This window comes from Homo sapiens, chromosome 3, assembly GCF_000001405.40.
Source record: "Homo sapiens chromosome 3, GRCh38.p14 Primary Assembly".
Taxonomy (NCBI): domain Eukaryota; kingdom Metazoa; phylum Chordata; class Mammalia; order Primates; family Hominidae; genus Homo; species Homo sapiens.
In genome coordinates, this window is record NC_000003.12 from 69,197,385 (window position 1) to 69,212,112 (window position 14,728).

Genomic DNA, 14,728 nt, shown 5'->3' on the forward strand with positions numbered 1-14,728 from the left:
TAAAGAAACAGCAACCAAGTGTGGGGTGAGCACCTAATTCAAGGTAAAAGAGCATTTCAGATCTAGGTAGATTTGGCCGGCTCTGACATTATCAGAGAATGCACTTAACGATAATGGCTGAAAATATGCAAGTCCAAAACTGTCCAGAGTGCTGCTTGTACACCAGATGGAAAGAGGAAAGGGGACGGGGGAGGAGAGAGGAGGAGGGAGAGGGGAGAGGGGGAGCGGGGAGAAGGGAGGGAGGGGAAGTGAAAGAGAGAGAGACAGAGAGAAAGAAAGAGAGAACAGGCAAGAGGCAGACAGACTGTGTGTGTGTGACGTGGTACTAATGTTCTTTGTAGGAATTTGGCTTATCTCTTCAGGTCACCTTTTTATCACAGGTATTTCCTCCCATCCCTCTGGCCTCTAAACATCCATAACCATCTCGGGACTGAAAAGTACCCACTAAGGACTGATTAAGAATTTCTCTTAAGGCCGGGTGCCATGGCTCAGCACTTTGGGAGGCGGAGACGGGCGGATCACCTGAGGTCAGGAGTTTGAGACCAGCCTGGCCAACATGGTGAAAGCCCGTCTCTACTAAAAATACAAAATTAGCTTGGCGTGGTGGTGCATGCCTGTACTCCCAGCTACTTGGGAGGTTGAGGCATGAGCATCACCTGAACCTGGGAGGTGTAGGTTGCAGTGAGCAAAGATTGCGCCACTGCACTGCAGTCTGGGTGACAGAGTAAGACTCTGTCTGGCAGTTGGGGGCGGGCGGAGGGGGGCGGGATTTCTCCTAAGATATTTGAGAACCCACATCCTGACTTCAGTTCATGTTGGTAATTTGGCTTTTTTTTTTTTTTTTAAATGACCAAGAACACCAACATTTTAAATGAGCAAAAGATCTGAATAGACATTTCTCTACTAAAGATATAGGAATAGCTAAGCAGCACATGAAAAGATGCTCAGCCATCATTAGTCATGAGGGAAGTGCAAATCAAAACCACAAGAAGGTACCACTTCAACCCACTAGGATGGCATAAACTATACATGCACACAAAACTAAAAATAACAAGTGTCGGTGAGGATGTGTCGGCATTGGAACCACATATACTGCTGCTTGGGATGTAAAATGGTGCAGCACTTTGAAAAGCAGCCTTGCCATTCCTCAGAGGGTTAAAGATAGTTACCATTTGACCCAGCAATTCCATTCCTAGGTATACACCCAAGAGAAATGAAAACATATGTTCATATAAAAACTTGTACACAAATGTTGATAGCAGCGTTATTTGTATAGTAACTGTGTCATACAGAGAAACGTCTTTGATCCTCACCTTCGTGGATCATGAACTTCAACAGCAAATTTTTTCTCACGGAAATATAAGTTCTCCAGCTGTTTCCATTGGAATAACTAAAGAAAACAGAAAAGCCAGGAAGTATTATTTATGCTTATTTTTACTAATTCTATAAATCAGCTTAATAATCAAACAATTATAAGCTCCAAGAAGGTACACTGATACGATGAAACATGAATATGTGATTCAGCCTTTTTACAAATCAACTATGACCTGAAACCATTTTATTCCTTCTTCTGGCAGCAATCTTTAACTATTAAGATTCACCTCGGCCGGGCGCGGTGGCTCACGCCTGTAATCACAGCACTTTGGGAGGCCGAGGCAGGTGGATCACGAGGTCAGGAGATCGAGACCATCCTCGCTAACACGGTGAAACCTTGTCTCTACTAAAAATACAAAAAAAATTAGCCGGGCGTGCTGGTGGGTGCCTGTAGTCCCAGCTACTCGGGAGGCTGAGGCAGGAGAATGGCGTGCACCCGGGAGGCGGAGGTTGCAGTGAGCCCAGATCGCGCCACTGCACTCCAGCCTGGGCGACAGAGCGAGACTCCGTCTCAAAAAAAACAAGATTCACATCACCAATAAATCTTCCTTGAACAATAAAACCAACCATCTGTGGAAGAACATGTACACTATTTTTCCTCTGACTCAACTATATAATAAGGAAATCTGCACAGATTCCAGTAAGCACCAGCCTTCTCAAAGATGTTGATTTCATAGTTAAATGGAAAGATATTCAAAGGGATATTTCAATAACATCAGAGATTGAATTTCAAAAGAATACAAAGTGAAAGTAAAACGGAACCCCCATGCAGGGGTGATTCTCTGAGATACCACTTTCCTACCTATGAAGAGTTCCCCTAAATGCCACAGAAACCTAGCACCAGTAATTGGGGGCAGAGAAGGGGTAGGAGGGAACACCAGAGCCTCTTCTTGGTTTCTGAGCTAGAACCTCCAGTTTTTGAACATAGCTAGCTCCCAGTGTCTGTACACTCTGATATACACACTACTGATACTCTATTGCGGCACTCAGTGCCGTCAGTTTGATTGGGAGGAACAAACTTTACTAGCAATGTGCATTTGAAAACCAAATAATTTGATAGAAAGCAGCTCATTCACAGAATTGAGGATGCCTTGCTATGTTTTCTGGGCTGCTTCCTAAGCTCTTTATAAGACATTGTACTATCCTGAGCCTTGGTTTGTCCTGTCAACTTGGACTTCATGGTCAAATTCCTCTTCTCTGCCCCCAGACTTGATTAGGGAAATAACAGCAGAGAGTTTCATTATATTATTAGACTTCGGCTGGATTTTAAAATTATGTTCAAAGAATCTTAAAAGATTATTTTTAATAGTCTATACAATAAGCACTTCTCTGCAATGCACTATCAGCAAAACCATTTCCTGACATACGGGAACCCAGGCTTTTCACAGACATGTAAACCTCATCATGTAAAGGAACAAAATGAGCTGAAGGTTTCTATACGTATGCAGGCATGGGAAAAAAGGGTTCAGACTGGACCCCCCAATTCCGAACAGTGAAATAAACCAGCACACCCTAAAAACACAGCCCTCCGGGGTCCGCACACATAGCTGTCTGTAACTATAACACTCACTCAGGTTCACAGAAGAATTAATAAAAGTATAAAGTTACATACCCATTTCTTAAAATCTCCACAAACTTGAGGTTTTCATTTCTTTAAATCCAGAGGTTCCAAAAATGGGACAGAAATGTGAGGAAAAACCTCAGGGTTCTTCCGCCCTCCCCCCTCCCAGACGGCAGCTCCGGTGAGTTCTGAACTGAGTTTCATAAGACACTTAGGTGTAACTCAATTTCACAAACTGAGCCTCCCACGGCTGACACACTACTGACATCAGCAACTCTCCTGAGTGACACCTCCCTAATTCTACTCCTTCCTCCCATCAGGGAGAGGAGGGCAAAGTTCTCAGTGGCAGATTTTCCCAGAAAAGAGACCTTTCTAAAATGGAGGGCAGTTGGGATTTGCCTGATACTTCCTAGGAAGTAAGTTGCTTTGAATCCAAGGACGAATTTCACCGGAGGCTGTTTTAGGAAGACATTTCTACCCTAGTTTACTCACCCTGGACATGAACAGGTTCTACAGGAAGAGTTACAATGCAGCTCAGCTGTGTTTTCCTTTGCGTCCATTCCCACACACATAAAAACCAGGGCTGGACTTGAAACATGATCTCTGAAAGTCACCACCTCCCCCTCTTATCACTTACAAATGTGAAACCCTAGCGCTTTGGACTCCATTCAGCCTGTCCCTGCATTGAGAGCAAATACGCTCCCTGCAAGCAAAAACTCTACTTAAAAGGCGAAGGACTTCAGCTTAGAGAATTTGAAATAACTGGATTGTAACTGGGTTTGCACAAGGTTATGGGAACAAGACTGGGTTTAAAGCATGAAAGGCAGAGAGCAGTTCATTCCCCTGCCTGAAATCTTAAAAGTTTGTGCAAAGTATGATTTCATATATGTGCATATAATAATATAAATGTGGATTGGAATGATACAAAATTCAGTGATTACTTCTGGGGGCAGATGGTATGGGGGGTACGTTGTATAGAAACTTGAATATCATTAGTAATGTTTTCTTTTATTAATAAAAATAGGATGAAAAATGACAAAATATTAGTAACAGCTATTTAAGTGGTTTTACAGGTATTGTCATATCTTTAGGACTCTTGGAATTTCTCAAAATTAAAGTAATAAAAGTTTATATATATAAAATGAATATAGGTTGGTCTGTTTTGTACAAGAGTGAGATTTTCACCATCTAATCAGTTGGGAGTTCCCTGTTTTAAACATTAAGTATTATTACATTTTAATTATTTTCAATGTTTGAAGTTGCTAGGAAAATATTTCTAATTGTAGTGGTACTTTATCTAGCTGGCAGCTGGATATAAGCTGGTTTTTCTTTTGAAATTGCTGAAATCATTCTCCTACTGTGTTTTTTATTTCTGGACTCTTCATATCCGAGGGCCAGGATGCAGCTCTACAAACGGCAATGGAGCTGAGGTGAATTCATTTGCTGAAAGATAGCTCATGCACCTTGCCTCAGACAGCACCTGGCACAGGGCAGGCAGTTGAACGGTGTTCATTCTCCTCCCTTTCTCCAGTGTTTATCTTAGAAGATAAATAAAAGGCACCCTCTGGTCAAAATCAAGAGAGGGGCTGGGCGTGGTGGGTTGGCCGGGCGCAGTGGCTCATGCCTGCAATCCCAGCACTTTGAGAGGCCGAGGCGGGTGGATCACCTGAGGTCAGGAGTTCGGGACCAGCCTGAACAACATGGTGAAACCCCGTGTCTACTAAAAATACAAAACTTAGCCGGGTATGGTGCGAGAGTCTATGCTCCCAGCTATTTGGGAGACTGAGGCAGGAGCATCACTTGAACCAGGTAGGCGGAGGTTGCAGTGAGCCGAGATCGCACCACTGCACTCCAACCTTGGCGACAAGAGCGAAAATCCGTCTCAAAAAAAAGAAAAGTCATGAAGGGATTTCAGACCAATGGTCTGTATTTGAGGAAAGAAATCAAAGTTTAAAGGAAGATACAAGAAAGCTAAGTATGCTTCCCATTTTCTATTATTTGGACAATATTGGTGTCCACATAGGGTAGGACTATGACATATATGTGTGTGTGTGTATATATAAAATATATGCATGTGTATGTACACATACACTTGTAATTTTCATATTAAAACAGAAAAATGTATTTTGCCCAAGCCAAAATTTTCACTATTAGAGACTTAAAAAAAAAAAAAAAAAGAGGAGCTTTATTTGTCTTGCAATACAATTAAGAGTATGGAACTAGAATGTGTTCTAAAGTGATCATTATATAAGCATAATAATAATCATTAATGAGTATTTATAATTGTCTATGTGGCACCTACTAGAAGCTACGAGTTTGAACACTATGTTGTTTTTAGACAAAATCTATGCTGCTAGTGATGAAAGGGAAATAGTTGTAAGGTGAAAATAAAACTGTAAATTAGGTCTTCCAGATTTCTTTCTGCTCTACACTCATCTTGAATCACTAGTTGTGCCTTTTGATATCAAAAGAAGGATGTAGAGAGTGACTGAAGAATAATATCTGGGACTACTTTGCAATTGCAAAAGTAAATAGAAAGATAAAATATTAAAAGAGGAGCAGCATAAATAACATTAACAAAGAGATAATCAAGAAATTACAACAGGAGGAGAATATCTTAAGGTTACAAACCTTATCTTAAAAAAACAAAGTGACAAAAATTTAAAACTGACACAGAAAATCATGGTGGAATCAAGCTGTATTTTGAAAGTGAACTGTATAAAATATTGTCATCACAAGAAATTCCCTTAACCCTAAGATGAAGTAAAAAAAAAAAAAAGTGTTGATGGTTTTAGAATAATTTGCTGTAGACGATTACAGTTTATTTAATGAAATGAATGTGTTGAATATTTAAGCCACTTTATTGAAATCTATAATCAATATTTAGTTAGATTCCACTCACTTTTATAGACTTAAAGAACTACAAGAAATCACCTGTTCCCTGTCCCACCCCACTATTATAATGGTTCCTAAATATCTGAGGGTACTGTCAAACTTCAGCAAAAAAAAAAAAAAAAAAAAAAAAGAAAGAAAGAAAGAAAAATACTATAAGGAAAAGCAGAGGAACCTTTAGGAGACATGGTCCTTATATTTCAGATATGTATTTCAGTAGCTTTGAGAGTCATTTATCCATTTCTTTTCCATCAACAGATATTTCTTGAGTGCCGTGTATGTTTGAGGTCTTGTTCTTGTCAGCAAGTAATGGACAGAGCCCTTCCATTGTGGGGCTCACAAGAGCCAAGTGAACCAAGTCAGATTGCCTTGGTTAGCATTCTGGTACTGCCACTTCTAGCTGTGTTGTATTTGGCAAGCTGCTTAACTTTCCTGAATCTCAGTGTCTGCATCTGTAAAATGGGACCACCAACACCCACCTCAGAGAGTTGTCGGAAGGGATCAGGGAAACTATGTTTGTGAAGCACTCAGCCCAACGCCTGGCTCAGTATCAAAATTCAGTAAGCAATAAAGTCAGCTGTATTTGTAATGAAGAACTCTCAGTTCACCTCTCCAATTTTATCACATGGAGGGCAGTCACTTAATAGCAGAAACAAAAGCAAAAACTGCTCTCTGGATCCCACATCTTTCCATTGTTGAGAAACAATTGGGTTATTCTGTTAACATATCTGTGTCACTCAGACTTCCAATTCTGTGAGTTTCAGGCTTTATAAAAACTGGCTGCTCTATTTCTGTTTATTTCATTGGGGGTTTCCTGATACACCCTCTAGGTAGGAAATTTGCTCACCGTTTCTGTATCATGGAGGACATAAATGGGGAGGGAGGGGCTGGTCACGGCATGCCCCACAGGTAGACAAAGCAAACTCCCTCCTGCCCCAGGTACCCAGGAAAGGAGGAATGTGTCCCAGCATGTACAAAAATGCTGAGAAGTATGCACCTGCCACGTGCTAGGAGGACCTTCCCAGGGGCATGAAAGACCCAGGGAAAGCCTTGGACAAAAAGGGTCAAACTGTCTTTTTAAATCTTGATGAATTGAAGGTAGATGCCACCTAAAGGCTTCACAATAGGCCAGGACAGGAAAGACATCAGGAGAGGCTTGGCTTTTTAATGGCAACTCATAGTACCTATAGGTTAATCATTTAACTGCAAATTCGCCTGGAAATGACTAAATTTGAGACAGTCACAGCTGCAGTGTATGACTATACATCAGTGACTCACACGGTGGGGGATCCCTCTGCTATTATTACGTGAAGCCAAACAAAATCACTATATTATTGATTTATTCTTTTTTCATTTTGAAAGATTACACATGATACATATACTGTTAGTACCTTCTGGAATTTCACAGAATTATAGGCTTCTATAAAGCCCAATTGATCTACCTTCTTTCCATCAAATGTTTATGTGACTGAGACAAAGTCTCTGCCCTCAAGGAGGGTACAGGCTGTCGAAGTGACAGTCATACAACAAATACGCAGTTAACACCAACAGTGCCAGCTGGCATAAACTAAGCGCTCAGCTGGAGCACTAAGATGTTGCATCTATTATCTTATGGCGTCTTCCCAACAACCACATGGGGCAGTACTATTTTAGTCTCACTATGCAGAAGAGAAAACTGAGGCTCAGAGAGGTTAAAGTAAATTGACCAAGGTCACACAGCGAAATAGGGGCAGATATTGATACTTAAATACTGCCAGGCTCCAAGATCCTCAATGTATAACCACAGCATGTCATCCTGCCTTTCTTATCTGGGAAGAGTGCTGTATGGGTATCTGTTATGTTTTTAACAAAAAAAAAAAAAAAGAAAAAGAGAAAAAAAGAGTAATTCTTATTTCTTCCTCAAATAAAAAAGAAAGCAATTACAGCAGCCATTTGCGGGATAGGACTGAGTCCCCCCCCTTTTTTTTTTGTATGAGATAGGGTCTTGGTCTGTCACCTAAGCTGGAGTACAGTGGCATGATCACGGCTCACTGCAGCAGCCTCGACTTCTCGGGCTCGCGATCCTCTGATCTCGACCTTCTGAGTAGCTGGGACAACAGGTACATGCTACCACACCTGACTATATTTCTGTTTATTTCATTGGGGGTATTTCACTGGAGGCTAATTTTTTAATTTCTTGTAGAGATGGGGTCTTCCTGTGTTGCCCAGGCTGGTCTTGAACTCCTGGGCTCAAGGAATCCTTCCGCCTTGGCTTCCTAAAGTGCTGGGATTATAGGCATGAGCCACCATGCCCAGCCTGAGTCCCTTTAATTTTTCTTAGTGATTCTCAACCTGTGGTGATTTTTGCACCCCTCCCACTCCTCCCAACCATCAACCTCAGGACATGTGGTGATGCTTGGAGACATTTTTGGTTAACACACTGGAGGGGAGGATGCTACTAGCATCTAGAGAGTAGAGACCAGGGATGCTGCCAACATCTTACAGTGCACAGAATATGATGCCCCCACAACAGAGAACTATATGGCCCTAAATGTCTATGGTGCTGAGATTGGGAAACCCTGACTTACAGGATAATATTTGGTGATATAACTAGGCTTTGGTAGGTGAAATGTGCTGATGAAGGATTTAACAATTTTTACTCTGAAACAATTAATTCTGGAGTTCTATTTCTTTCAACTATGCCTGTTCACATTGCTTTACATATGCAAATGCTACCCACTAGAGGGGCTTACAATTGACCAGACTAGAAGAGTCAGCTGTGCTGAACTAAAATCTCATAAAAGTACCCAAATGGTATACGCTGTGGTAGTGAATGTTTCAAATATGATCTCAACCTTACAAATAAAACACCATATCTTGGCCAGGTGTGGTGGCTCACTCCTGTAATTCCAGTACTTTGGGAGGCCGGGGTGGGTGGATTGTCTAAAGTCAGGAGTTCGAGACCAGCCTGACCAATGGTAAAACCCCATCTCTGCTAAAAATACAAAAATTAGCCAGGCGTGGTGACATGCACCTGTAGTCCCAGCTACTCGGGAGGCTGAGGCAGGAAAATTGCTTGAACACAGGAGGCAGATGTTGCAGTGAGCTGAGATCGTGCCACTGCACTCCAGCCTGGGCGACAGAGTGACACTCCATCTCAAAAAAACAAAACAAAACAAAACAAAAACCCATATCTTAAATGCAAGGAGTAAAACTCTTGAGTATTTTCAGAAAAGTTTAGACAAAGAAGTTCTGGGTATTGGGAAATGTATAACGTAAAAACGAGAACACCTAAAAGGATGTCATCACACCCAAGTTTCCTCTGTGGCCGAATCTCTAACCTTCCAGAGCTGATGTAATGACATCCTGTTAAGACTCTCGTTAGCGTGCTCACTGATGTATTTGATGCCACCAGGGCTGAGCTACTGCTCTGGGCACCTGTATAACTATTATGGATATTTACAACTGGTATCCCTTCTTGTGGTTTTGTACCTAGTCTGGTTTTTAAATATTTCCAATAAAATACCTAATTTTGAATACATTCTTTCTTTCCAGATATATTGGCAGGTACTTGATGGCAGGGATTGTGGCTTTTTCCTTAAATGAGACAAAGAATATAAAGCACTCATTTAGGGCCCCTGTAAATGCATTGGGCTTAATACATTTTTTTTTGGTGGAGGGGAGCATAAAATCAGGTACATGGCACTCTATGGTTAGAAATGTAAAGATAGATGAATTTAACAACTTTAGCTTATCAGTGAAGCCTTGCTACCAAAAAAAAGTCCCAAACCAGCCAATCATTGGTCACAAGTATATAATAAAGAAACTTTGGACAAGCACAATGGCTCACGCTTATAATCCCAGCACTTTGGGAGGCTGAGGTGGGAGGATCACTTGAGGCCATGAGTTCAAGACCAGCTTGGGCAACATAGTGAGACCCTGTCTCCATAACAGAATTTAAAAAATTAGTGGGACACAATGGCACATGCCTATAGTCCTAGCTACTTGAGAGGCTAAGGTGGGAGGATTGCTTGAACTGAGGAGTTTGAGGCTGCAGTGAACTATCATTATGACTCTGCACTCCAGCCTGGGCAACAGAGTTAGAACCTATGTCTTTAAAAAAAAAAAAAAAAGAAAGAAAGAAAGAAAATAAATCTTTACTGTTTATGCCTCTTCATAGAACTATTTTTTACAGTGCTTTATGTACTAATTGCTTTTCTCTGCATTCAGACTAGTCAATCCTATTTATGAGCTATCTTTCATTTTTCTTCATGTGCCAACAGTTCAACCATGTGGTAAATGCTTAGACATGTAAAGGAATAGAAAAAACAATGGACAGTCAGGCACCGTGGCTCATGCCTGTAATCCCAGCACTTTGGGAGGCCGAGGCGGGTGGATCACGAGGTCAAGAGATCGAAACCATCTTGGCCAACATGGTGAAACCCCGTCTCTACTAAAAATACAAAAATTAGCTGGGCGTGGTGGGACATGCCTATACTCCCAGCTACTCGGGAGGCTGAGGCAGGAGAATCACTTGAACTTGGGAAGCAGAGGTTGCTGTGAGCCAAGATCGGGCCAATGCACTCCAGCCTGGTGACAGAGTGAGACTCCGTCTCAAAAAAAAAAAAAAGAAAAAACAATGGACATCTGATGGTTCTGCCTGTCTGGCAGCCACTTCCTTTTCTTCTAGCAGCATCTTCCATTTCTACACGGAACTCCGTAAGCTCCAGCTACAGTGGTGTGCAGTGGCGCCATCTTGGCTCACTGTAACTTCCGCTTCCTGGGTTCAAGCAATTCTCTTGCCTCAGCCTCCCAAGTAGCTGGGATTATGGGCACCCGCCACCATGTCTGGCTAATTTTTGTATTTTTATTTTTATTTTATTTATTTTTTTAGACAGAGTCTCACTCTGTCACCCAGGCTAGAGTGCAATGGTGTGATCCTGGCTCACTGCAACCTCCACCTCCCGGGTTCAAGCAATTCTCCTGCCTCAGCCTCCTGAGTAGCTGAGATTACAGGCACCCACCACCACACCCGGCTAATTTTTTGTATTTTAGTAGAGACGGGGTTTCACCATGTTGGCCAGGCTGGTTTCCAACTCCTCACCTCAGGTGATCTACCCACCTCGGCCTCCCAAAGTGCTGGGATTATAGGCATGAGCCACCACGCCTGGCCTAATTTTTGTATTTTTAGTAGAGATAGGGTTTCACCATGTTGGCCAGGCTGGTCTGGTACTCCAGACCTCAAGTGATCCGCCTACGTCGGCTTCCCAAAGTGCTGGGATTATAGGCTGAGCCACTGCAACCAGCCTTCTCCTGGGTTTCTAACATGCCTATCTCCTTCCCATCGGCATACCCTGTTCTTTGATGAGAACAAGCCATACTGTTCTTTATGAGCTTTCTGCCCTTCGGGTCTCAGGTTAAACATCACCTTCCTCAGAGAGGCTTTCCCTGAACACACCAAATGTCCCCTCCCTGCATCCCATTACTGTCCCCCATCTCATTTGTTTCCATCAAAGATAATTACAAATTTATGTCTTTATTTCTTTGCTTACTTGTTTCTCACCAACCATCCCTCCAAAGACTTCAAAGGAAACAAATACAGTGTGACAGAAACTACTGATCTCCCCTAGGATCTATTTTTCCTTATTTTTAGTAATAGAACATCTTGAGTTATGCCAGGCGCGGTGGCTCACACCTGTAATCCCAGCACTTTGGGAGGCTGAGGCAGGCGGATCAGGAGGTCAGGGGTTCGAGGCCAGCCTGGCCAACGTGGTGAAACCCCATCTCTACTACAAATACAAAAATTAGCTGGGCGTGGTGGCGTGCGCCTGTAGTCCCAGCTACTCAGGAGGGTGAGGCAGAAGAATGGCTCGAACCTGGGAGGTGGAGGTTGCAGTGAGCCAAGATCACGCCACTGCACTCCAGCCTGGGCAACAGAGCGAGAATCCATCTCAAAAAAAAAAAAAAAAGAACATCTTGAGTTAAAGCTTTGCCCAGGGCCACCCACCTAGAGACAATACCACCCAGCTGCCCTTGCACTCAGAGTTGGTACTTTCCAAATGACAGAGGAGCCTGCCTAGGCCTCCCTCTTTCCATCTTCTTCACCAATACCTAACCAATTTTCTAAAAGTTCCATGTTTTACGAGAACTGCTTAAAATTCTAATTGCGATCAACTATGGGAGGGGAAGAGAAAGACCATGCTGTACAATACACTTTCTATAAATTAAAGTATGGTGTGGAGGGGAAAATAACCCACTCAGTGAAATAACTCACTAACTCATTGGGTCCTCACAATGATCTGTGAGGTGGACAGCAGACAAGAGTTATCTCAATTTGATAGCTGAAAAAAATGAAGGCCCAGAAAGTTGAGTGACAGCTCTGAGTCAGCCAGCTGGTAAGTGGAAATGCAGAACTGGTTCTTATTTCAAATCCATGCTGTAGGATGGGAGTTCTCCTCCCACTGACTCTGCAGAAGGTTTTAACAATCAGATTGATTACTGGTGTGGTTAAAGCTTAGATACACACTTTATAAACAGGATGGACCAGTCTCTGGTTGACATTCTAAAATCCAATTATTTTCTTCCATACCATGCTTTATTTGGCATTAATGTAGAAAGAGAACAACCCATGTTCTCTTCTCCTACAGTTAATCTCATCTAGAATTTCAGCAGTGTCAGAAGTAGCTTCTAATCTAGGTCCAAGGTGGTATGGTCATGGTGGAAAGAAGAGCTTAGAAATGCTCAAGATAGCTGTGCTTAAAGAAATAACCAAGTCACTGTCTTTAAATAAAATAACCTTGTAGTTGTATGAGAAGAAAACAGGAAGACTTTTGTGCTTGTTACTTAATTCATTTGGCTTTAGGGATTTGGGAATTCCAATATATATAGAGACAGAAACAGAAAGCTAAGAGACTTTTCCCACCTTCACATGCCCTGTGGTGATGAAGTTCACCTCAAGTCTTTCTTGGCATGATATAAGGCAAAAAGATACTTATCTTGAGAAGCATTTTGTCCCACTATGGACACCTCGACAGTATGTCATTTTATCTCTGCCATCTGACAGGCTCTGGTTTTCCAGGGGAAGTATTTGCCGAAGGGATACAAATCTGTCATGACATAGACTAATACTTGGCTCAGTCTCTGACCCACTGTCTGCTTCTTTATGAAGAACAGACATTTTTCCTTGAAATACTGAACAATAAATACTTAGAAGGAACACAAGGCTGCTTTTTTTTTTTTCTTTAAGTGAAACTTCATCAGTCTCTAAGTCCAAATGTCTTACCATTTGGAATTCAGTTGAGTTCTGGTACGTTTTCACATTCTCTAAGAGTTTGCAATGACATATTCATACACAAAGGGAGGATTAAAAAGTAAAGCTGCTTATTGTCTTAATTTTTAATACCCTGAATGTTTGTGGTTTGTAATTTTGGATTAAAAATTTTTCCTTTAATTTGCGTCACACCTTCAGGCATGATGCTTAATGAATTAGGAGGTGAAAGAAGTGCTCACACATCTCCGAAAACAGAAAATTTGAGGGTGGAGGCCGGGTGTAGTGGCACACATCTCTATTCCCAGAACTTTGGGAGGCTCAGGCAGGTGGATCACCTGAGGTCAGGAGTTCGAGACCAGCCTGACCAACATGGTGAAACTCCATCTCTGCTAAAAATACAAAATTAGCCAGGCATGGTGGCGCATGCCTGTAATCCCAGCTACTTGGGAGGCTGAGGCAGGAGAATTCCTTGAACCCGGGAAGCAGGGGTTGCAGTGAGCTGAGCTGAGCTCGTGCCATTGCACTCCACCCGGGGCAACAAGAGTGAGTGAAATGCCATCTCGAAAAAAAAAAAAAAAAAGAAAGAAAATTTGAGAGTGGATTCTTAGTACACTAAAGCTGTGGGCTTGTAGCAATGTTGTGTCCCTCTCTAACCAGTGATCCAAGAATATTTCCCATACTCTTTTATTGTCTGTCTTCTCACTACTACTAATGATGATGGCGTATCAGCTATGGTGCTAAATTTGTCCTCTAGGTCTTACAACCACCCTACACAGTTGGTGGCAATACCCTTGTGCAGATGAGAAAACCACTTTTAAAGAGAGATTAAACAACATGCTCAAGGTGGCACAGTAAATAGACACCAGGGGCAGAGGTTGGGATGTCTCCCAAACTCTTTCCCTGCATCACTGTACTACACTACACACTGGTTGAAAACAACTTGTTGGCACCCCAGACTGGCAAAAAAAAGCCATATAAATAAAAGACTTGAAGAGCATCTGCTGGATGCCCTGGGAGGTCAAACAAATACCTCCCTGCCCTTAACATTCACAGGTGATAACTGATACAGAAAGGTCTGAAGGTCACTGCTGGGAGATCTTGGAACAACTCCTTTTCAAAACAGCCTTTCGGCATCAGTTTTCTTATTCTTAGTACTTATTCTCAGTAAATTTCCCTTCTTCTGGCCTGCTTTTAAGCCACATAATTGTAACAAGACGGGATGTGGCTCAAGAGGCTGAGCACCTTAAGGCCTCTCATTATAGCCTTTGTTTCATTACAGTTTGCCAATTTGACCTTCATTCCTGCTGGTCCATTGGTAAACTTGCAGCCTGCACAGGTCCACACAAACAGCTGAAGCATGATCCTCCTTTAATAGAAGGCTGTGCTCATGGTCCTTTAAATTATGCATTCTTTCATTTGTGCAAACTAGGCCAGGAGAGGGACTTGTAAAACAGCCTCAATCCTTACATTGTCTGGACATAAAAAATAAATATATGGAAGCAAAATCCATTGTCAGATTTTAACAAAAGAAGAAAGGAAGAAATAAACAATGGCACAGAGTAGACACCCCCCAAAAAAAAAAACGGAGAAAGAGAAGGCAAGAAAGTGATAACATGGGCCGGGCATGGTGGCTCACGCCTGTATTCCCAGCA

The 14,728-nt window shown here is 42.2% G+C and overlaps 1 protein-coding gene across 18 annotated transcripts in view; it reads right to left on the reverse strand.

Annotated features, from left to right (window-relative positions):
- The window catches only part of FRMD4B (FERM domain containing 4B), a 373,805-nt gene that overhangs the window by 28,603 nt on the left and 330,474 nt on the right, over positions 1–14,728 (reverse strand). For 15 of the 18 annotated variants that reach the window (XM_017005993.2, XM_047447767.1, XM_047447771.1 and 12 more), the window contains one exon: positions 1,314–1,390. In XM_017005993.2, coding sequence (XP_016861482.1) covers positions 1,314–1,390 — 77 coding nt within the window. Of the gene's footprint in view, positions 1–1,313; positions 1,391–2,986; positions 3,126–3,427; positions 6,154–14,728 lie in introns of those variants that run through there. The other 3 variants (XM_017005996.2, XM_047447773.1, XM_017005997.2) reach the window with 3 other exon arrangements.